This window comes from Homo sapiens, chromosome 10 (assembly GCF_000001405.40).
Source record: "Homo sapiens chromosome 10, GRCh38.p14 Primary Assembly".
NCBI lineage: Eukaryota > Metazoa > Chordata > Mammalia > Primates > Hominidae > Homo > Homo sapiens.
In genome coordinates this window covers 3,722,194-3,745,841 of record NC_000010.11, presented here as the reverse complement: position 1 = coordinate 3,745,841, position 23,648 = coordinate 3,722,194, and the positions used below count along the sequence as shown (strand labels likewise).

Genomic DNA, 23,648 nt, shown 5'->3' with positions numbered 1-23,648 from the left:
ATTTCCTGAGACCCTTTTGTGCTGTGGCACCCTGCTGAGAGCAGCTGTGGTGTTGCCAAGCGTCACAGGCTCCTCTCTAATTCTAACGCTCTTTCAAGTAAGGGACTGTTTTTTGGGAGGGTGCAGCACGCTTTGATGAGCTGGATATCAAGGTCTGCGTCTGTGCTGATATTTATTTACTCTTTGGTTCCTTCAGTGCTTGTTTTCAGCCCAGTGTTCCTGCTGTTTCATGGTGATTGGCAGAAGCTGCACTTCTGAGAGATGGGAGGAGGGATTCTTCTTCCTCTCTCATCCCATCACCTGCTCCAGAAGGCAGCTGGAGCAAGATGCGTATGGTGACAAGACTGTTAGGAGGAAGGAGAAATTCTAGAAAACAATGTGACATCTTCAAAGGTGAAGAACTTTGCAGCTCATGGAATTACAGTTAACTGAGAACCTTGGTTCGAATGAGTGGATGGATGACTATTGGAAATAGAATAGTGACTTTATATAAATTGAACAATGGGTGGAGATAGCTTTTGGGCATGTGAATATTGAATGCATGTGTGTTTTTGTGGATGAGTGTGGATTAGAGAGTGCGAGAATATTCTGACTGGCTGGTATGGTCCAATGGAAAATAAAGAGGGATAGTGATTGTAAGATTTTTAGGAGTAAAATTTAATATTTTTATATCATAATATAATGAGAAGCTTTATTCAAAGACTGAGATTGCTTTATTTCTAAATTTTTATTTATGTATTTGTTTACTTTATTTTTTTATTTTTTGAGGTGGAGTCTCGCTCTGTTGCCCAGGCTGGAGTGTAATGGTACCATCTTGGCTCACTGCAACCTCCACCTCCCGGGTTCAACCAATTCTCCTGCCTCAGCCTTCCGAGTAGCTGGGACCACAGGTGTGTGCCTCCACTCCTGGCTAATTTTTGAATTTTTAGTAGAGATGGGGGTTTCACCATGTTGGCCAGAGTGGTCTCGAACTCCTGACCTCAGGTGATCCACTTGCCTTGGCCTCCCAAAGTGCTGGGATTACAGGTGTGAGGCACCGCATGAGTCCTTGTTTACTTTAGAAATAGAGTTTGCTCTGTGGCCCTGGCCTGAGTGCAGTGGTACCATTGGAGCTCATTGGAGCCTTGAACTCCAGCGCTCAAGGGATCCTCCCACCTCAGCCTTCTGAGTAGTTGGGATTACAGGTATGCACCACCAAAACCAGTTTGGAATTGTTTTAATATGGCAAAGGAAGGCAGGAAAAGGAAATATTAAGCTTTCAGTCCTCAAGGTCAAGGACAAAGCCATGCTGATCACCTATCAGCAGCGTGGGGCACAGAGCTGGTGAGCGCCAGATAAAGGTTTCCTGATGCTGCTTGAATGGGATGCTTGTCCTTCCTCACTATTCACTGCAGCTACTTTATTGCTCTACTTAGTACGTAGTTAATCTAATCAGCACTATTGCGAAAGAGATTATGCTAGGCGCTGTCTTTGTTTTAACCTTCTTTCTTTCCCCATAAATTGTGACTCTGATATCGATGGTAAGATTTCAAAATGTCAAATACTAACTTACATTATTCTAGTAGTTAATTGAGAAAAATACAAAGATACAGAAAAAATAGGGAAAAGTAAAATATATAGATAACGATTCCAGGAAAGCTTAATTAAAAAAAAAAACACACAACAGGAGTTACAGCAAAAGAAACTTGGAAAAACAGAAATTATAAAAGAAATAAATCAAGAATATTGTTCAAAGCTAAAGAATATAAGCCTTTAAACTAAAAGGCTCATAAAATACCAAACAATTCAAATTAAAAAAAGAATTGCAGCCGGGTGTGGTGGCTCACACCTGTAATCTCAGCATTTTGGGAGGCCGAGGTGGGCAGATCATGAGGTCAGGATATCGAGACCACCCTGGCTAACACAGTGAAACCCTGTCTCTACTAAAAAAACAAAACAAAACAAAACAAATACAAAAAATTAGCTGGGCGTGGTGGTGGGCACCTGTAGTCCCAGCTACTCGGGAGGCTGAGGCAGGAGAATGGCATGAACCCAGGAGGCGGAGCTTGCAGTGAGCCGAGATCGTGCCACTGCACTCCAGCCTGGGCGACAGAGCAAAACTCCATCTCAAAAAAAAAAAAAAAAAAGAATTGCATTTGAACACTTGATTGGGAATGTTACATAATGAAGGTTAAATCAGAGTAACAAAAGTGTTCAAAATTGAGAATCACTGAAAAAATGATAAGAATTGCTTTAGCAGTATTGAACAAAAAATGCAATAAAGCAAAACCTTCAAATTAGTGATAGAAATTATTTTGAAACACTACTTCTTTCATTTAGTAAATCTATTTTTTATGGGCCTACCCTAAGGAAGATGTTTGTTATTTTATACATTTTTAATTTGTTAACCAACAGATTTGGATGCAATATTGCTACTCAGTGTGTTTCCAATATTTAGAGCTCTTAGAAGAGAAATCCTAAGCAAATGATCCTGTTTATTTTCTCTCCAAGTTTCACATCTACAGGAGTTAGTTTGGATAAAGAGAACATAATATTCTCATTCTGGGCTTTTTCTTTTTTCTCTAACAAATTTTCATTTATCTGTTGATATATACATGACAGTCTTGCTTTAAAAAATTATAAATTTTATGGTTTCTTTTAGGCAGGTTAAAATATTTTTGCTAACCCATTCATTCATGCATTTGTTCAGCAAGCTTTACTGAAAGCATATCATATCCCATGCATTGTGATAGGCACAGGACATGTAAACAACAACTGCATTGCTTGTCTTCAAGGACACACACACGCATATAAACACACACATATATACACACACACGTATATATACACATATACATATATATGCTCTCTATGCATGTATAGATGCAAATACATAAAATGTGCATGCATGTGTGCATGTGTGTGTGCATGTGTGTGTGTGTGTGTGTGTAGTCCTTGTCTTCAAGGTCCATATGTATATATTTCTTGTCTTCAAGGACACACACACACACATGCATATATATGACAAAAAATGTATATATGAAACTTGAAGGCAAAAAAATAGCAGGAGTTAGAGCAAAATAAACTTGGAAAAACAGAAATTATAAAATAAATGAAACAAGAATATTGTTTAAAGCTAAATAATATGAGCCTTTAAACCAAAAGGCCCACAAAATACCAAACAATTCAAATTAAAAAAGAATTGTATTTAAACACTTGCTTGTGAATGTTATGTAATCAAGGTTAAATGGAGTAACAAAAGTGTTACTATACACACACGCACACATACATGGACTACACACACACACATACATGAACACACACATGTATATGTATATGTATATATAGAGATTAACGGAAGTGGCTGCTGAGATTATGAGGACCTAGAAGTCTCACAATCTGCTGTCTGCAAGCTGCAGAGCCAGGAATGCTGGTGGTGTGGCTCAGTCCCAAGTCCCAAGTTCAAATCTGAAGACCTAAGAACCAGAAGCTCCCAACGTGAGGGCAGGAGAAGATGGATGTCCTGGCTACAACACAGAAAGAAAATTCACCCTTCCGCTACATTTTTTGTACTGTTTGGGCTCTGAAAGTGAAACTGCCTTTGCAAAATTATGACTGAGACAGTGAAAAAGATCCAACTTAACCAATTTCATCTTGCCTCTAACCTCCAAGCTGTCCTTGTTCATTCTTGTCATAGGCTGAACTAACTTTGGGAGAAACTTAGTTCATAGTTTACAGTTTAAAACAAAGACAATAACAGCCCTTTCCCAAAACAAACCTCCTTCTTGCCTGGGAACTAGGCTACTAACATTAGCCACAAGATTAGTAATTACGGTTTAGGAGTCATGCAGCTGGAGGCTACGAGATTCTGAACCTCTTTAAACTGCTTCTAAAATCCGTGCTTGAGATGTTTTGTAGACCCTGCACTTGATGAAGCAGCTGGCACCACACAGATGGATAAACTGGCCCATCTGATCTTGTGACCCCCACCCAGGAGCTAACTCAGCCCAAGAAGACAGTGATGCTCCATGATTTCATCTCCAACCCAACCAATCAGCACTCCCCAACTCACTGCCCCTCCCCACCCACCAAATTATCTTCAAAAACTCTGATCTCCAAATGTTCGGGGAGACTGATTTGAGTAATAATAAAACTCCAGCTTCCACACAGCTGGCTCTGTGTGAACTACTCTTTCTCCATTGCATTTCCCCTGTCTTGATAAATCGGTTCTGTCTAAGCAGCGAACAAGGTGAACCCGCTGGGAGGTTACAAAAGAACTGGATTATGCCCACATTGGCGAGGGTGGGTCTTCTTTACCTCCATTCACCAATTCAAAAATCAATCCCATCAAGTCAAATGAAATGCAAATCTCTTCCAAAAACACACCTGGGAATGGACTTTTACCAGCTATCTGGGCATCCCTTTGCCCAGTCAAGTTGACATAAAATTAACTATCAAAAAAGTCTTTCTGAAAAGTGGATTAGCCGGGCACAGTGGCTCACACCTGTAATCCCAGCACTTTGGGAGGCCGACGTGGGCAGATCGCAAGGTCAGGAGATCGAGACCAACCTGACTGACACGGGGAAACCCTGTTTCTACTAAAAATACAAAAAATTAGCTAGGTGTGTTGTTGGGTGCCTATAGTCCCAGCTACTCGGGAGGCTGAGGCAGGAGAATGACCTGAACCGGGGAGGTGGAGCTTGCAGTGAGCCGAGGTCGTGCCACTGCAGTCCAGCCTGGGGCACCTGGGGCAACAGAGTGAGACTCCATCTCAAAAAAAAAAAAAAAAGAAAGAAAAGTGGATTAAAGATCTTAATTTTACCAATCAAGTAAAAATATACATTGCAATATAAAATATTATTTTGTGAATCTTTTTCTGAAGATTTAAAAATTATCCAATAAATATGTTTAATCTAGATTTTATTATAACAAAAACCACTATGTCTGCTGATTGGTCAAATTCAAGACCTGTACAATAAGGATCACTAAAATATGAGCTGGCGGAGGACAGGGTTTTGGCTGCATTCTTACAGCTGTATCTGTGGCACCACGGACAGGTTTGATTTCAGTGGGTGACTTGGCACTTAGTAAACACATTCGCTGACTGAGTTGAATACTTAATTATGTGTCAGCCTCTGGATTTAACACACACTCTCTTGCCCAAATTTCACAACTGCCCTATGTAATAGACATTACTCTGCATTCCTAATACTGAGAAAACAGAGGTATTAAGGGCTTGAGTAACTTGCTGCAATTCTCCAGTTAGTGAGTGATAAAGTCAGAATGCGAATCTTTACCTAAATGCCTCCCTTGATGACCAACCTGTGAAACAGCTACTGATATCTCATGTGTACTGAAGATGAGGTTTCCTGGCTCAGCTGATAAGTCAAGTGTTTTTGGTAGGGACCTACACAATGGGATGATTCAGCTTTTATGGACTCTGCTCCTTTAGTCTATTCTGAAGGGTTATATAATGGATTTTTCTCTTTTACTAATGTGTATCATTTTATTAGTGTTTGAAGTCTTGTAAAAAGTAATATCTGAAGGATGTAAGACAGCAAGTGAGAAAGAAACAGCTCAGAAGAGACTGAGTAATGCTGAGTAATGTTACCTGAACTTCCTGCTCTGCTGGGGTTCCTCTCATACCATATGAGTGGGTAAAGGGTGAAACGAAAATCTTATCTCAACATCCTTCCCCTGTGGATGACAAACTTTGATATTTATTTTATCATCGATATCAGTGAGTCCATATTTATAAAGCGAGGAGCTCTTACAGGAAAGCATTTGTCAAATACCTAATTACAAAATATATTGACCTTCATATTCTAAGTCAAGTGATATATTTTGTATCATTTTCTGCAGAATTATGATAAAGCACAGTGTGTATAAAGTCAAGTTACCCATTATTCTAGCACTGTTTAGTGTTTATATGACACATGCCAAACATGAGAATAACCCCCGTTTGAAAATGTATTTTTTTGGTTACTTACAGCTACCTTATTTTTTTCTTCTTCTTTTTTTTTTTTTTTCTTTGAGATGGAGTCTTGCTCTGTCACCCAGGTTGGAGTGCAGTGGCACGATCTAGGCTCACTGCAAGCTCTGCCTCCCGGGTTCACTCCATTCTCCTGCCTCAGCCTCCCGAGGAGCTGGGACTACAGGCATCCGCCGCCACGCCCGGCTAATTTTTTGTATTTTTAGTAGAGGCAGGGTTTCACCGTGTTAGCCAGGATGGTCTCCATCTCCTGACCTCGTGATCTGCCCACCTCGGCCTCCCAAAGTGCTGGGATTACAGGCATGAGCCACCGTGCCCGGTCTATTTTTTTCTTCTTATAATACATGTGCATTGTAGTACATTTGAGAAACACAGAAAGGAACAAAATTTTAAAAAAATAAAAATTATTTGAAAACTTGCCATGCCCATATTGTGTCTATGAATGTTTTGCTCTATTTCTTCCTATGCCTATATGTCTATTTTAATAGGATACAATTTAGGTGATGACTTTTTTTCCTCTTAGCATTAAATCACTGGTAGTGTCTGATTTTGCTTTATCATTTCCAGATAGTAGTAGCAAAATCCATAGGGGCTGGATTCAAATAGTTACTCTGTTTAGACATTTTGTCACATAAGAGTCTTATAGTTTTCTCTTATCCTCAGTTTTCTCATGTGACTAATCATGGTCACAATATTAATTCACAGGTTTGTTGAGAGAATCAAATGAACTCATGCATGGTGAAACTTTTGATATAACGTATGACTCAAACTAAATGTTCAATAACAAGTTACTATGTAAAAAACACTTAGAAATCATTCTAATGATTGCACAATAGTTCATTATATTGATATACTTTATTTATTTAGATATTCTTTTCTTTTTAAATTTTTTTTTTCAATTTGAAAGAATTCTGGAAAAACAACAGTCTTGAGTCAATATTCTGATTATATCCTTAAGATAGATCAACAGGAATGGAATCACTATGTAAAACACTGTCATCTTTTAAGGATAGTGAAAGGAATTTGAAAATTGTTTTTAAGAAAGGCTGTAGCCAATTATACTGGCATCAGGATGCCTGTTTCACCACAACCCCAAGGTGCCAATTAAACTATGTTTTCTTAGAAAGTAATCAACATTCTTACAGAGAAATTAGACAGTGTGGATGAGAACAAGAAGAAAATAAACATCTCACAATTCATAATCACACATGAAGACTATTGCTTTTTTGTTATACACATTCTGATTCTTCCTTGCATATGTAAGAATTTTTATTCTTTAACACCATTTTATTAAAAATCTGTACCAAATAATTATATTACTTTTACTTATTTATTCTAGAAGCATTTATTTTTAGTAATAAAGGAATAACTATCTTTTTTCACATAATAAATACATCTAAGGGCATAGCACATGATTATTAAAGGAAAAATAGTCCACATAGATTAACAGAGAAAAAATTAAAATAATATAAAATTCTGCCACTCCAGAGTAACCTCTTTGCTGTGTATACTTTTATGTATTTTTTTAACTATATATTATATACAGTTGACCCTTGAACAATGCAAGCGTTATAGGCACTGACCTCTCGCACAGTTAAATATTCATGTAGGGTTTGGCTGTGTCCCCACCGAAATCTCATTTTGAATTGTATCCTGGTGGGACATAATTTAAATCATTGGGGTGGTTTCCCCCATACTGTCCTCATGATAGTGAATAAGTCTCATGAGATCTGATGGGCTTATCAGGGGTTTCTGCTTTTGCTTCTCTCTCATCTTCTCTTGCCAGCACCAAGTAAGAAGTGCCTTTCACCTCCCGTTGTGATTCTGAGGCCTCCCCAGCCACATGAAACTGTAAGTCCAATTAAACCTCTTTTTCTTCCCAGTCTCAAGTATGTCTTTATCAGCAGGGTGAAAACGGACGAATACAATTCACATATGACTTTTGACTCCCCTAAAATTTAACTACTGATAGCTGACTCCTGACAGGAAGCCTTACTGATAGCATGAACAGCTGATTAACATATAAATAAGACTAGTATCTACATATAGTTTATGTATTCATGGCATACCTTTTTCTTAATTTTTTCAGGATTTCTAGGCTAAGCAGCTCATCTGTAAGGTTTTTCAAATTGTTACAATCTCCAAAAAAGTTTTCAATATATTCATTGGAAAATCCACACACAAGTGGACTAGAGTAGTTCAAACCCATGTTGTTCAAGGGTCAACTGTACATATAAATATTTGTTTCCACAAAAATGGGGTTATACTATGTATTATTCTGGTCACCAGATTGTACAAATATTTGATCAGATATAAACAATGAACATATTTAAGTTAAATCTTTGAGTATAGCTATAATTATTATAATAAATCTTTCCAAGTAAACTTATTGGACAAAAGGATGTACTTATTTTAAAGGTTTTTAATAGGAATAAGCAAATTAGTTTACAAAAAGGTTGTATTAATTTGTTTTCCACCAATAGTGTAGGAGGCTGTTTACTTCCTCATATGTGGGACAACATTGGATACTATAACTTATTTTTAATATTTGACTTTTGATGGGTGAAAATAGTATCTGGTATGTTATAGTTCTTTGAATGCTATTGAGGCTAAATAATTTCATATATATATATATATATACATATATATATTTTTTCTTTTTTTATGGCCATACGGTTTTTTTTCTAAATTACTTGTTTATATTCTTTGCCCATTATGCTATTGAAGTGTGTGCCTTTTCAAATAATGTCAGTCATTTATAGTCTAAGAATGTTAACTTTTTCCTATCATATATGTTGGAAACTTTCCTCAAATTTTCTGTTTGCCTTTTAGATTGTTTATGGAATTTCTAGGTAAAGGAAATTGTAAATTTTAAGCCTCTTATTATTTCTGTTAAGTCAACTTTCAAAATAAGCTTGGGAAAGTAAGTGGTGTTGATCTTTAAAAATAAAATAAAAAGAAAATCTCATTGGCAAATAGCATGTTCTAGGCTGAGAGTTTTTTATTCTTATTTTTAATCCTCTTTCAACATTTTTAAATGAATAAAAACGGTGCAATAGACAACGTTTGTGCCCCATTCCCCTCCAAATTCACATGCTGAAATCTTAATCCCCATTTAAGAGGTGATTCGACCATGGGGACAGAGCCCCCTATTGGGATTAGTGCCCATATCATCAGGCCCCAGATGGCTGCCTCACCCCTTCCGCCTTGCGGGTACACAGTGAGCAGTCACTGTCTGTGAACTGGGGGGCCAAACTCTCACTAGACGCCAAGTTTGCCAAGAGCCTAAAGTTTGGACTTCCCAGCAGTTTGGTTCCCCCAGAACCGTGAGAAATAACTATGTTGTTTATAGTCCAGCCAGACCATGGTAACGAACCAAAATAATCAGGTGAAGTAAACATCACTGATGGAGGGGTGGCAGAGGTATTTTCTGAGCTGATTGTATAAATAGTACCCTCCCTTCTTTTGGTTTTAGCTAATGAAGCAGGCTTCTTCTCTCCTTGGTTCACCCCCAAATCAGTCAAGAGCATGAGTCCCATTGTTCTCTTGGGACGACTTGAAAAAGGTGCAGACTCTAGCAAGCGGTGTGTGTGTGTGTGTGTGTGTGTGTGTGTGTGTGTGTGTGTGTGAGAGAGAGAGAGAGTTGTTTGTAAAAGACTGGTGACATAACCCCAAGGTAATAGACATCTACATGTCTGTGTGTGCTTGCTTGGTGACTGATTGGTTCTTTGAATGATTTTAATCATAATTTCCACATTAGTATGCCAGCATTATTATGAATTAAGACATTTATTTTAAAGATGCTCTGCCGTGAGGTAGGCCGAGGTGTGGAAGCTTCCTCTGGTTTGTGCCCACATGGAGTGGGTAATTCTGTAGGTTAGAGCCCCATCTTTCCTCATTGTGATGACTTCAAAACTGGGGTGCCACTCTTGTTGGATGGATTTAAGCCAAAGTTTCAGGAACTCTGAATGGGTCAAAATGAGGCTCTTTGCCCCACATCAGTTTCTCCAGACTTGCTTTATTAGATGATGTTATAATAAACTTGAATAATTCTGATTATAAACAAACTACCAAAGCCTTACCACTCCCCACTCTCTGATACCGAGTTATTTCTCCTACAGGTGCTCCCCAGCTGCCTCCTCACAGCATTTGAGTTTGGTCTTGTAGTTTGGTCTTATTGTCTTGTACATGTGGTGCCCAAAGAGATGTTAAAGCCAAAAACATGCTTAGAAGAGTGTCAGAGCAGGTCATCAGACAAGTGGGGCACGGCGGGGGGACCCCTGACAGGACGGACAGCCTGGGGAGACTCACATAACTCTGGAATGAAGACTGCAGAGAGGGACGCCTTTGAAAGGCCACAGTGGGAACAGGTGTTCAAAGAGGCAGGGCGAGCAGGGGGCGGGCAGGTGCATGGAGCAACAGCCGGCACAGTTGCTGGATGGGCAGGCTGTGTCCACAGTCCCTCCTACCAAGGCGCTTTGGGGCGTCACTGGCATCACCAGCCTGGGACAGACTGTTGTGTCCTGTGGTGGGGCCAGGCTGTTAACAGGGGCCGTGGGCCCAGGGTCAGTGTGTGTCTCCTCCCAGTGTCACCTCCATGCCACTGCGGCAAAGCTCCTGCTGTCTCACTGGGATTGTGCTCCTCAGTTGTGAATTCCGGGCACCCCTGTGCATCCGTGGCTGCATCAGAAACATCCCAGGAAGAGCAAGGCAACATCCCCAAGACATGAAACCCTCACCATCCTAGTTTAGAGAGAGAGCCTTACGTGCACATTGGCTTGAGTTCCCACAAGAGATGTCCTGACAAGGGGAGAAGCACGGAGTTCTGTGGCTTCTTATTAATGACGTTTCCAGAAAAAAAAAGAATAGCAAATAAGATGGCCTAGTGACATTGGTTCTAAAACAGGGGCGTGTCAACAGTTATTTCTATAGCGCTACCAGCTTAAAGTTTTATTTTAAACACAGCTTTAGGAACAGTCTAACGGTTGTGTATCAGTTAACTGCTACGGTAACTTAGTGGCTGGAAGTCACCACTCATTTGATTTCCTCGGGAATCTGCCATTGGGTCAGGGATAGAAATGGCAGCTTGTGTGTGCTCCATGGCACAAGCAAGGGTGCTGGGTTCGAAGGGGTTCACTTCCAAGATGGCTCAGACACAGGCAGGCAGCCCAAGCTGGCTCCCAGAATGGAGGCTGGATCTCAACAGCAAATGACTCTAGAAGTAGGAGGTGAAAACCCCTATTTCCCAAAGCAACAGGCCCCGAGTCACTTCTGCTGCGCCCCGTGTGTCTGGCCATCAATGTGAGGGGACAAAGCTTCACCTCATGATGGACTGAGTGGCAAAGGATTTTGGAGGTGCTTTTAAAACTTACGACTATGGGCTGGAGTGTGGCTGAGTCTTGTAGCCAGGTACAGATGCTGGCTCTGCAATGACAGCCCCGTAACCTGCTCTGCTTCCCAGCCATCCTCTGCAAGACCTGTGTTCTCGTCTGAAAAATACTTGCACTAACAGCACCTAGCTGGTCAAGTTGCTGTGAGAATTGGATGAGATCATCAAGCCAATGGGCTTAGTATCTGGCACATTGCAAGCTTTCACTATATCTCAGCTATTCTAATTTTTAAACAGAGATGGATAATTTGGTAAATGTTTCTTAAAGATGATTTGCTACTGTGGTTTCCCCATTCTTATTCTCTCTCTCTCTCTGGTCCACAGTCAAGTTCTGTGAGTAGGGAATAGGTGAGGCTGGCTGATATGTGCAATTTCTCTTTCCTAAACTAGATGTAAAAAAATGTAATGATGTAAAAGCTTCTTTGACAAATACGTATTAGAGTGAAATGAATTATCTTTAGAATCTGTATCATCCAATTCTTAACATTCTTAACTGGGCCATAAAATCCTCACACTGTTGGCTGGGATACTTTGTGTGTGAAACCAAACAATAATGAATAATTTTACACCTCATAGAACATAAAATTGGCTGGGTGTGGTGGCTCACGCCTGTAATCCCAGCACTCTGGGAAGCCAAGGCCAGTGGATCACCTGAGATCAGGAGTTCAAGACCTGTAATCTCAGCACTCTGGGAGGCCAAGGCCAGTGGATCACCTGAGATCAGGAGTTCGAGACCAGCCTGGCCAACATGGTGAAACCTTGTCTCTACTAAAAATACAAAACTTAGTTGGGTGTGGTGGTGCATGCCTGTAATCCTAGCTACTTTGGAGGCTGAGGCAGGAGAATCACTTGAACCTGGGAGGTGGAGGTTGCAGTGAGCTGATATCACACCACTGCACTCCAGTCTGGGCTACAGAGCAAGACCCCATCTCAAAAAAAAAAAAAAAAAAAGAACATAAAATCGCGGTATGTTTTACAGATTATCTTTATCTGAACTTTTTAGTAACACAGTCTAGGAAAAAAAATGACTTTTCTAATATAAAAAGTAGTGGAAAAAAAAAGAAAGCCAGGAACCACAAATACAAACCTGTAATTCTAAGTGTGCATTTCCATGAAGGCAGGGAGGGTCAGATTTAGTGAAGTACTTGGCGTGTCATTGGCTGGTGTTAGTATATCTGGTGATGACTGTGAGGCTGGAGCTTCTAAAATGTTGACAATTAAAATTCCCTGTAATTTAAAATATTAAAAAAATAAAACCACATATTTCTACTGGAAATATCAAGTTCATTTCTAGATGATCACTTTTCCCTAAAAGGTTTATCTCCACGTTTAATTTGGGTGCATAATGAGGGAAGAAATGCAATGATTCTTTAATTCATGAAAAGTTGAAGGAATGAAGACATTTTTGGCAAGGGCAGCATTTTTATTCTCTGCATTTTTATTTTCTAAAAAGCATGACTCTCTACTGCCACTTTTCTCTATTTATTCATTCTTAAGAATGATAAGATACGAAATGGCCCTAGAAAATCTTTGTTCTTTATATTATTGAATTTTAGTTTCAAATAACATTTTTACTATGTAGTCATCTCATCTGGTAATTATCATGCTGTTTTTATTGACTGTATTGTGATAATACCTAGTCTGTGAAATTTAAAAAGACTTTCTCCTACAACGTCTGCTGGATAATGAGGTGGCACCACACACATAGAATATTTCTTTATAAATCATCATTCTGACATTTGGGAAAATAATCTATATTGAGCAATCATGTTGCCTAAAGTAGTGATGATACAGAACACAAAACACTTGCTTTTCCCTCTGGGCTGATAGCTTTCCTATCAGCATGCATAATTCAACAAGAGAGAGAAGAGAACTAGGTAAAGGACATTCAAAATTGACAGAGGATTTTTAATTGAGTAAATGAGAGATAAATTTCTGGATGGAAATTGAATATTATAAATGTATTAGTCTGTTTTCATGCTGCTGATAAAGACATACCCGAGACTGGGCAATTTACAAGAGAAAGAGGTTTAATGGACTTACAGTTCCACGTGGATGGGAAAGCCTCACAATCATGGAGGGAGGCAAGGAGGAGCAAGTCATGTCTTACATGGATGGCAGCAGGCAAAGAGAGAGAGAGATTGTACAGGGAAACTCCTCTTTATAAAACTGTCAGATCTCATGAGACTTAATCAGTATCATGAGAACAGCATGGGAAAGACTTGTCCCCATGATTCAGTTACCTCCCAGCAGGTCCCTCCCACAAAACGTGGGAATTCAAGATGAGATTTAGGTGGGGACACAGCCAAACCATATCAATAAAGGTATAATTTTTGTCTATATTATGTCATATGTAATTTTAAACAAGATCTAAATGAATTTCCTCTGGAATCTTTATAAATTCACTTACAAATATACCTTGAAAATAAGTGAGTGAGAATAGCCAAGTGCAACTGTGAATTTTAAAAAAGAAGAGCAAGAAAGGGGAATTTAACCTACCAGGACACATAGACATGTAAAACATATTCTCATAATACTGTTTGGACAAAAATGTAATGTAATGCATGTAATTATTGTAAGGTATGTTAATGTAACACATAGCCGCCAAATTAACCCTAGTACATGGAAAAATCTAGTATCTTTCTCTTTTTGTTGATTTATTTATTTGAGACTGAGTCTTGCTCTGTCACCCAGGCTGGAGTGCAGTGGTGCACTCTTGGGTCGCTGCAACCTCCGCCTTCTGGGTTCAAGCAATTCTCTTGCCTCAGACTCCTGAGTAGCTGGAATTACAAGTGCCTGCCACCATACCTGGTTAATTTTTGTATTTTTAGTAGAGCCAGGGTTTCACCATGTTGGCCAGGCTGGTCTCAGGTGATTTGCCCACCTCTGCCTCCCAAGGTGATAGGATTACAGGCGTGAGCCACCACACCCGGCTCTTCTTCCTTTTAAAGGTTTTTAAAATAACAAGTCCAAGTCTCTATTTCCTATGAATAGGCCTAATCACTGATTAAATCTATGTCGATGCTGATGTGTGCAAATCCCATCATGAGGGTATTTGGTGTAAAAGTGGAGACAGTTTTCAGTTGTGTGAGTGATGAGCATTGTGTACATATACATTTGAGACTCTGAGCTTGAATTCTTCAAATTTTCACTAAATCTTCCCCCAAATAACATGCATCAGTGGGTAGTGAACTGTCCTGTCCTACTGAGCCTGGTAAACTGGGTTGCTAAGTTTGGAAAGCCCAGCGAGTCCTATGGAGTGGGAGTGCTCTGTGTTCGAGAGGAGTCCTCGTCATCACTGTGGCGTTCTCCTGGCTTCTTCAGAATTGTTCCTGTGTCCACACACATAGCAACCTTAATATGTAAGTGCTACAAAATTACTTACGTACATGTATTTCTTTATTTTGATATATGAAGGTGTTTGCTATCTTGACCCAAATCTCTGAAGTGAAAACCCAGAAGAAGGTGAGTATGTATTGAACTATATTTTAATATTACATGAGGCTCTTCTGGGCCCAAGGAGACATTAAAAGGGCATAGGTACTGAGGCAGTAACTCACTAATGAGCCACCCTGGCAGTGTGCAAGTCAACCCAAAGTACTTAATGGGATCTCAGGGAGCGGCTGAAGCCCAAGAAAGGTCCAGCTCATTACGTGTGGCCACTAGCTCAAACCATTTAAGTCATGTTTATTTTATTATTTAAGGGAACTTATGCTTTTGCAATACTAAACAAAGAGCAACATAGATGGGACATCTAAGTAGAAGAACGAGTTTACCTGCCATATACACACCATAGGCCATAACTCCTAATTGACCTAGAGGAGGAAAATAGAGGTGATAATGTATTCACAGATCTGCTCATTTGTTTCTTCACAATCATTTCTGAAAGCCGAATATATTCCCGCTAGAAGCTGAAGGCGAAAAGGTGAATAAGACTGTCCACTGCCCAACGACACCCACTGCCTTGCGCTGAACAAAGCAGTCCACTGTGGAGTATTTCAAGGGTCCAGCACAGCCTGATGAGGATGGCTAAGTGTGGGAGGTTAGCTGTGGAGGGGAGACTTCCAAAGGGGACACGATGAAGGCTGGGCCAATGTCAGGACAGAGTCAGGAAAACCGTGTTGTCTGCGTAAAGAGGGCGGCGGCCTCACGGCGAGGTTCACCCTGGTTTTTCTCCTGGTCAGACCCAGGGCACCTGGCCTGCGGGGCTGCACCCATGGCTCTCCTCTCACCCACCCCTGGGACATCAATGTGGGAACTCTCGCTCCAGGAAATCTTTTAATTTCATGGTGCTGTGAAGACAACCCAAGGACCCTACTTAAAATCGCAGCCCTGCCACCTCCTCTGCCACACTTGACCCCTCCTGTCCGGCTCTACTTTTTGTTTTTCCAGAGTGCTTACCACCTTCTCCCATACCATTGCACGCATTCATTACATTGCATATTTACATTTGTCTTCACTGGCTGTAATACAAGCCCCTGAAGGCAAAGGATCTTCATCTATTGTATCCACTGATGTATTTCAAGCTCCTCAAACCTGCCGAGAACATAGTAGGTACATTGCAGATATTTGTGGAATGAATGAATACAAATATTAGATAGGTCAGGAAATCTAAACAGCTAGAAAACATGGCTTGAATACTACTCAGCTAGAACCAAAAGAGACGAGAGAAATGCCGGTGTCCAGTGTTGTCATGGAAACACATGCTGCGGTGGCCACTGCCTGGCTGGGACTAGGACCCCCATCCCCACGGGCTCCACTGAAGGCCCCTTCACCCTCATGCCTGCAAGGAGAGGCAGCCGTGTGCGGCGTCCATCTCCTGCTATTTACCAGCTTGTTGGTGGATCTGCCTGTTTGACAGAAGCTCAGTGGTCTGAGTCATCTTAGTGGCAAGAAAACCTGTGAAATGTGGTTTTGAAATTTCCAGACTCTATAAGACCAAAAGTCAAGGAGAAAAGGGCTCAGAATGGGAAGCCAGTGAACCAGTGCCTGGTCTTGCGGCCGCATAACTCCACGTATCCAGTGAGACAAACCTTTTCTTTCTACGGCATGCTTTTGATTATACTGCCAGGTTATCCCTATTTTCTCAGTCCATTCTTTTTTTTTTTTTTTTTTTTTTTTTGAGAGACAGAGTCTCACTCTGTTGCCCAGGCTGGAGTGCAGTGGCGTGATCTTGGCTCACTGCAACCTCTGCCTCCTGGGTTCTAGCAATTCTCCTGCCTCAACCTCCCTAGTAGCTGGGATTGCAGGTGTGTGCCACCAAACTCAGCTAATTTTTTGTATTTTAGTAGAGATGGGGTTTCACCATGTTGCCCAGGCTGGTCTCCAGCTACTGAGCTCAGGCAATCTGCCCGCCTCGGCCTCCCAAAGTGCTGGGATTACAGGCGTGAGCCACCGCACTTGGGCTTCTCAGTCCATTCTTATAGCATTTTAAGGTATGAATACATTATTATTAGCATTTGATAAATAAGAAATTGAAGCTGAAAGACATCCGGTAATTTCTCAAGGACAAGTGATCTAAGTTAGTAAGTGGTGAAATCAGGCTTTGAACTCAGGCAGTTTCATTTCAAAGCCCCTGCAGGCTACCCATGCATATGCAAGCTACCCAGGTCCCTGCTTTAGTTTATTTGTAATAGGAGAAGAAAAGATGACACGTGTATCCTAATCAGGCTATGGGGCACTTTGAGTTTCTAGGCTAAAAAATGCCACGCAGAACCAGCTACGTCTAGCCAAAGTCCTAAAGCTGGCAAAGTTTATTCTGCAATCATTTACTTATCTGTGGGCCTCTGTACCACTTAGGGTTGGGCCCAGTTGTAAATGTGGTATTGACAAGGGATAGAGAAATAGATGATTGGAAATTGATTTATTCCTTTTGTAGGAGAAAAATGGACTATTTAGTAAATGATAACTTTTAACCCTTATTCATTCATCCAGAAAACCAAAATGAAAATGAAGAAATTAGATCTCCACTTCATATCGTGTGTAAAAATCAATTCTAGACTGATTAAAGTCTTAAGTGTAAAAAGCAAAATTAAAAATTTTAAGACAATATACAAAACAAAAATCAATATGACTATGGGATTTAGGAAGTTTTTTTATTATCATTTTTTCGAATGTCTTTTTAAACAAGACACAAAAATACACACCATTACGTACATGTAAAAGATTGATATATTTGACTATATGTAATTTAAAAAACCTGCTTCTCATAAAAAATGGAAAGTCAAGTCATAAAATAGAAGAAAATATTTGAAACATAAGAAAGCAGTAAGTGTTTAGAGTGCAGCATATATATATTCTTACATATATGTATGTTATATTTTAGCATATGTATAATTTTATATAAGAAAAATACATATTCTATTAAAGATAAGTGAGAAAATGACAGTTGAGGAGGGGCAAGTGCTCGGAAGTTTCTCTTCCGGCCATTTGTGGGCCATATGCTCCTTAGATGGGGTGAACTCTTAACAATCAATTATCATTAACAGCTATAAACTTTAACAAGATACAAAACAAACTGCTCTCTCAGAGCTGTGGCGACTGAACAAGCTCAGGAAGCTTTTGGAGGGAGCCAACCCTGAAGCGCGCGGGGGGCAGAGAACACGTTTGCATTTTTCTACTGCGCCTTTATCTTACAGAAGCTTCCACTGAGGCAGAGCTTACCAAGCCCAGCATCTCCTCCGCTGAAGGCAATCAGGGAGAAAACCCAAGAGCAGCCAGGAGGGAGAGAGGGAGAAAGGACAGCCTCGGAAAGCGGAGGGGGACGGGGGACATCTGATTCTGAGCATAAATGCCCCCCTCCCCACCGCCCCCAGCTCCGGCTGCTGTTTGAACCCCACATGCATAGATCAAACTGAAAGTGGCCTGAAATGATGGCTCAAAGAGCCGGAATAAAGTCTGAGCCATCTCGTCTAATGCTGGCGTAACTCTCCGCACAGAATCTAGTTGAATTAATTACTTACTCAACAAGAGTATCAACGTTTTTCTGAGCAATAACAGAGAATCCAAAGTCTAATGACATAGTAGATATTATCCAAGATTACTCAACCTACAAAAAGCCTAGAAAATGTGACCTCATCTCAGGGGAAAACATAGTCAATCGATATGAGGCCTGAGATGACCTCTGTTGGAATGATCAGACAAGAACATGAATAGTTATCAAAACTATGCTTGGTGTGGCAAAGGAAAATTCACTCATGACAAATGAAAACATAGGAAATGTCACTAAAAAATATAGAAAATGGCCAGGTGCAGTTGCTCACGCCTGTAATCCCAGCACTTTGGGAGGCCGAGGCAGACGGATCACCTGAGGTCAGGAGTTCGAGGCCAGCCTGGCCAACATGGTGAAACCCTGTCTTTACCAAAAATACAGAAATCAGCTGGGCTTGGTGGTGTGTGCATGTAATCCCAGCTACTTGGGAGGCTGAGGCAGGAGAATCACTATAACCCAGGAGGTGGAAGCTGCAGTGAGCCGAGATCACGCCACTGCCCTCCAGCCTGAGCAATAGAGTGAGACTCTGTCTCAAAAAAAAAAGAAACCATAAAAATGACCAAGTGGAAAATTAAGAGTGCATAGACAAAACGTCTACATGAACAACTTGACTGGAAGAACTTAACGGCAGAGCAGGGCCGGCAGTAAAAAGGGCCAGTGGACAGGAAGATGGATCCGTAAATGGTACAGAATCTGAGGATGTGAGAAAGAAAAAAAAGGATGGAATTTTAGGGAACCCTGAGATGATTTCAGAAGTCTAGCTTATGTGAAGAGGAGTCTTGAGGGAGAAGGGGCTAGAACACACATGAGGGACCCCAGGACACAGGAGACAGAGGATGAGGCAGAAAAGATAGTGAGGGAATCATGCTCAAAGTCATCCCAAATGGGGAAAGATGCAAATTGACATATTCAAGAACGTTAGTGAACCTCAAATAGGATAAAATAAAAAAAAAGCTTTGACTAGGCATATTATGGACAAACTGCTAAAACCAAAGATAGTGAGGAAACCCTGGGGTTACCAGGGAAAAATGACAAATTATACACAGGGGATTGATTATCTTAATTATTATTGAGTTCTCATCGGAAGCCATGGAGGCAACAAGATGGCCCCAAAACTTTTTAAATTGCCCAAATTTAAAAAAAACTAAACACCTGTTAATCCAGAATTGAAAGTTCAGTAAAAATATCCTTCTTAAATGAAATACAAATAAAAACATTTTCCAAAAAAAAAAAAATGAAAGGAATCGGCAGCCATTAGACCTGCACTTCCAGAAATGCTGAAAGAAGTTTTTGAAACTGAAGGAAAGAGATATGGGAGGAAATGTGGATCTTCAGGAATGAGTGATAAGCATCAGAAATGAGAAAATTGTGAGGCAAACATAAAAAGCATGATTTCTCCGTTTTTTAAAAATCATGTAGTCATTTAAAGCAAATCTAACATGGTCTTTATAATATATATATGTAACACGGTGGGATTTATAACATATATGTCATATGTAAGATGCCCTTAGCATATAATACAGCTGGAGAGGGTAAATGAATTAATATGTTTGCAGATTTCTCTCTCTTCTGTAGAGTGGTACGGTATTAACTCTAAGTAGACTACGAGAACAGGTATATTGTAATCCCTAGAGCAATCATTACAAAAATGCAAAGATACACAGCTAAAAAGGCAACTGATAAGTTAAAATAAAATTTAAACACAATCTAAAAGGAGGCAGGAAGGAGGGAAGAGAGAAACAAAACACAGAGGGGTGACAAAGAAATGATAAAATGATAGGCTTATTTTTATTCAATTTTGTGATAATGGACTGAACGGTCCACTTAAAAAGCAGAGACACCTGACTATTTGCTGTTTATAAAAGATGATGTACTTACAGTAGTTCAAAAATTAATGAATGGAAAATATAGTATCTAAACAGGAAGCATTTGAGGGCTGAAGTTGCTGTATTAACAGCAAACTCAGTCAAAATTGTTACCAAAGATAAGAAAATTTCACATTGATAAATAGACCAATTCATCAGAAGGCTATAACAAATATAAATCTCTATGCACCTAAAAATAAAGCCTCAAAATACATAAAGATAAAATAGTATTAGAGGGAGAAAGAGAAGATTTCACAAACATAGTAGGAGATTTAAAAATCCTTTTTCAAGCAACTGACAGAACCAACTGGAAGAAAATTAGTCACGACACAGAGAATCTAAATAACTCTATTATTCACCTGGATCTAATTGATGATAGAACAGTATGTCCCAAAACTAATTACTTTATTGAATAAAGCCGTAGTTAGTTGGAAAGTTGTAAGTTTAACTATAAATACAAAAGACTGAAAACAAGTAAGCTGAATTTTAAATTCCAAAAATCAGCAAGGAAAAAAATAAGCATCAGATCAAAATAAAAAATAAGAAAGAGAAATGCGAACAGAAATCGATACAATAGAGAAGTACAGGAACAGGGTGGCGGCAGCCATAGGAACAACCAATGATCACGAAAGAGAATAATTCAAAATTCCAAAAGCTGAGTTTTTAAAAATATTAATAATATCAAGACTGATGAAGGAAAAAGAGAGAGGAGATGAGAAAGGGAAATGGAGAGAGAACAGGAGGAGGATGAGGAGCAGACAGAGAGAGAATAAGAATGTAAATAAGAGTCCAGAGTGAGAAGAGGAAAATCATAGTCACCAAAGAGAGTTTGGTCAAGAGTAAGAGAAAATTTCAACATCAGAAAATCTATCAAATGATTTATCTCAAAAACTGCAGCACAAAAGTCTTAGGATAATCTTGATAAAGAAAATACATTTAAGTTCAAATTTATTTGTCAGAAAAAACTACCAAAAAACTAGTAAGGAATTTTTTCACTTGTTTGTTGATATTACTGAGTGTCAACTATATTCTAGCATTATTTATGCATTGAAATATAGCTTGGAATTTTATCGCTTTATTTTCATGTCATATTAATATCATTTTAGAGAGCTATAACCTTCCTAGGCAACACAGTATATCCATTTATAACCATTTATATAAACAGCTTAGGAATTGGCAAATTATATAACTGCCTCTCTCAGTTCAGAATCCTCTGTCATTCCTACACATAATAACTTTACTTTTTGTTTCTTTTGGCCTTTATAGGTATCGGCAAATATTAGCATATGTATTGAGTGTTGTCTTAGAGTGCTAAAATTAAGACCTGTAGTTATCAAGTGAACTATGGAACTACAGATCTTAGATTTCAAAAGGTGTAGGGTTTGTGTATATGTGCATGTGTGCACATGTGCACAGCGTGTGTGTATAATTTGTTTGTAACTTGACCTTTCCTTTCCTTGAAGAAGGGCACAGGAGACAGTCCTAGACAGGTTCTCCATATTTTCTTCGTTCAGAAGTGGCTCAAATCTATTTTTTTTGCAGGTGCTAAATAAAATCAAGATGAAGCTAAACAGATGGTCACACCTCCCTCTTCTCATCTCAGTTAGTCAGCCTGATTAAAATGGTCATTCTTCCAAAACTTGCATGTCTTATGCAAATGCTTCAAATATTTCCACAAACCATATGTCCAATATCCTAACTTGAGGGTGAGTAGATTTATGTGAAAAGTTAGTATCGACACCCACTCCAATAATGCATTCCCAGAGATTTCAAAGGAATTCCGTTGGGGTATTTTGGTTTGGCAGACACCGATAAAATGTAGAAATTTCTATTCGAGTGGTTAAAATATTCAGTCAGTGGTGTCTTTAACAAGAAGCAATCTGTACCCCTGAGTAGTTAACTGTGAACTTGACAAACATCAAATGCTTATGTCTTGTATAAGAAAATGACATTTTAGCCTTAAGTAAAAATTTAAGATGTCTTCATAACTTAAAAATAATTGTATTTCATTTCCTTTATTTAATCTGAATTGAAGACCCCATTTTTTGCCAAGATCCATGTTGAAGAAGAATGTCTGGAGTTGTGAATGAATGAATGAGTTTTCTGTTTACATTCTGTGGCCATGGTACAGATTGTCCAGAATGGCCCGCTCCCCATTCTGGACAATCACCTGAGGACTGAGTCCCAGGTTCCATGTCTGTTATGGTGATAATAATAGGTCACTTTAGGGGAGTCTGTGAGGATGACCTTCGGTGACCCGTGTGCAGAATCTCTCAGAATTGTGAGGCTCAGAAAACAAGACCCCAAAGTATGGCGCCAGAGCATGTCAAGTGCTTTGAGCTGGAGGAAATGGGAAGGCCGCCTACGCCAGGTCTCTCCGACCCTCTCCTGCCCTCATGTCTCTCTCTGCCCTCTTTCTGCCCCAAAGTGAGTCATAGAAAACAGAATTCCCCTTCCCTAAGGTGGGTCATGGGCACTAGAATTCCTCTCCCCAAAACCAGCCATGAAACTTAGAAAGGTCACTGTCTCTCTTCCTCCTCGGAGACCCTCATTCCAGAGGAGTCCTGCCCTCTTCCTGAGAGGTAAGGAACACAAATGGAGAAGCCATGGAGAACAGGAACAGGTGGGTCTTGCTGGGCTTACCCTCACTCTCTCACCATTAGATCACAGTCTTCTGTCCCATCACATTCCTACATGTCTGTCCATGCTTCCATCCATCCTAAGTGTAAAAAGACACAGTTTTCCCTGGGCCTTTGATTCTTCATTTCTGAAGGATCTCGTGTCATGTAAAATTTGGACTAAATATTATGCCTATTATGCTTTTCTCCTGTTAACCTGTCTTTTGTTCTAGGAGTCTCTGCTATGACCCTTGTGATGGGTGAGGGAAGACATCCCACCTATCGGACTCTACAGAATGCATGCTCAGGCCCTCCGTAAATACCTTCTGTCTATAGGAATATCGATGAAATACTCAAGTAATTAATCTTTTGCTGAGCATTTACTCTGCGCATGCAAAAATTGAAAATGGCCCACGTTTCTAGGGGGAAATATTACCGCCGAATTCATTGATTCTGGCTTCTGAACACTTCTTCAAGAAGCTGGTTAGAGCACCTACCTACATTCAGAAAATTCTTAAGAGAGATCAATATTGTATGGGGATTCTTGATTATCAGGTTAATTTGGACTATAAATACTCTCTTAATTGGTCTGCAATGCAATTACCAGTGAATCCCACAGCACCAAAAATGTGTAGTTATTCACACATACACAGGTCGATGACACAGGACCCTCTAGGAACACTGGTGCACTCTCTTTATTTGCAGAAATTATACATATGCTCTCGATTCAAGCCTCCAGGCTAATTACTGATCCTCCTTGATTAAAAATGTGAAATTTTAAATTAAACCTACGTTTAATCAAATATTTCATTAA

The 23,648-nt window shown here is 39.8% G+C and overlaps 1 long non-coding RNA gene across 1 annotated transcript in view, besides 3 other annotated features; it reads right to left on the bottom strand.

The window, feature by feature from the left end:
* The window catches only part of LOC105376360 (uncharacterized), a 432,070-nt gene that overhangs the window by 4,923 nt on the left and 403,499 nt on the right, over positions 1-23,648 (bottom strand). The gene's annotated exons all lie outside the window — the stretch shown is intronic.
* Positions 3,360-3,499: an enhancer, noted in NCBI's record as "active region_2909". NCBI's record gives its function as "activates an Ori minimal core promoter by ATAC-STARR-seq in GM12878 lymphoblastoid cells {active_cell/tissue: GM12878}" and the evidence as "EXISTENCE:reporter gene assay evidence [ECO:0000049][PMID:35858748]".
* Positions 5,073-6,272: an enhancer, noted in NCBI's record as "P300/CBP strongly-dependent group 1 enhancer chr10:3781762-3782961 (GRCh37/hg19 assembly coordinates)". NCBI's record gives its function as "activates an origin of replication core promoter dependent on BRD2, BRD4, P300/CBP, MED14 and CDK7 cofactors, with strong dependence on P300/CBP, by STARR-seq in HCT116 cells {active_cell/tissue: HCT116}" and the evidence as "EXISTENCE:reporter gene assay evidence [ECO:0000049][PMID:35650434]".
* Positions 22,048-23,247: an enhancer, noted in NCBI's record as "BRD4-independent group 4 enhancer chr10:3764787-3765986 (GRCh37/hg19 assembly coordinates)". NCBI's record gives its function as "activates an origin of replication core promoter dependent on BRD2, P300/CBP, MED14 and CDK7 cofactors, and independent of BRD4, by STARR-seq in HCT116 cells {active_cell/tissue: HCT116}" and the evidence as "EXISTENCE:reporter gene assay evidence [ECO:0000049][PMID:35650434]".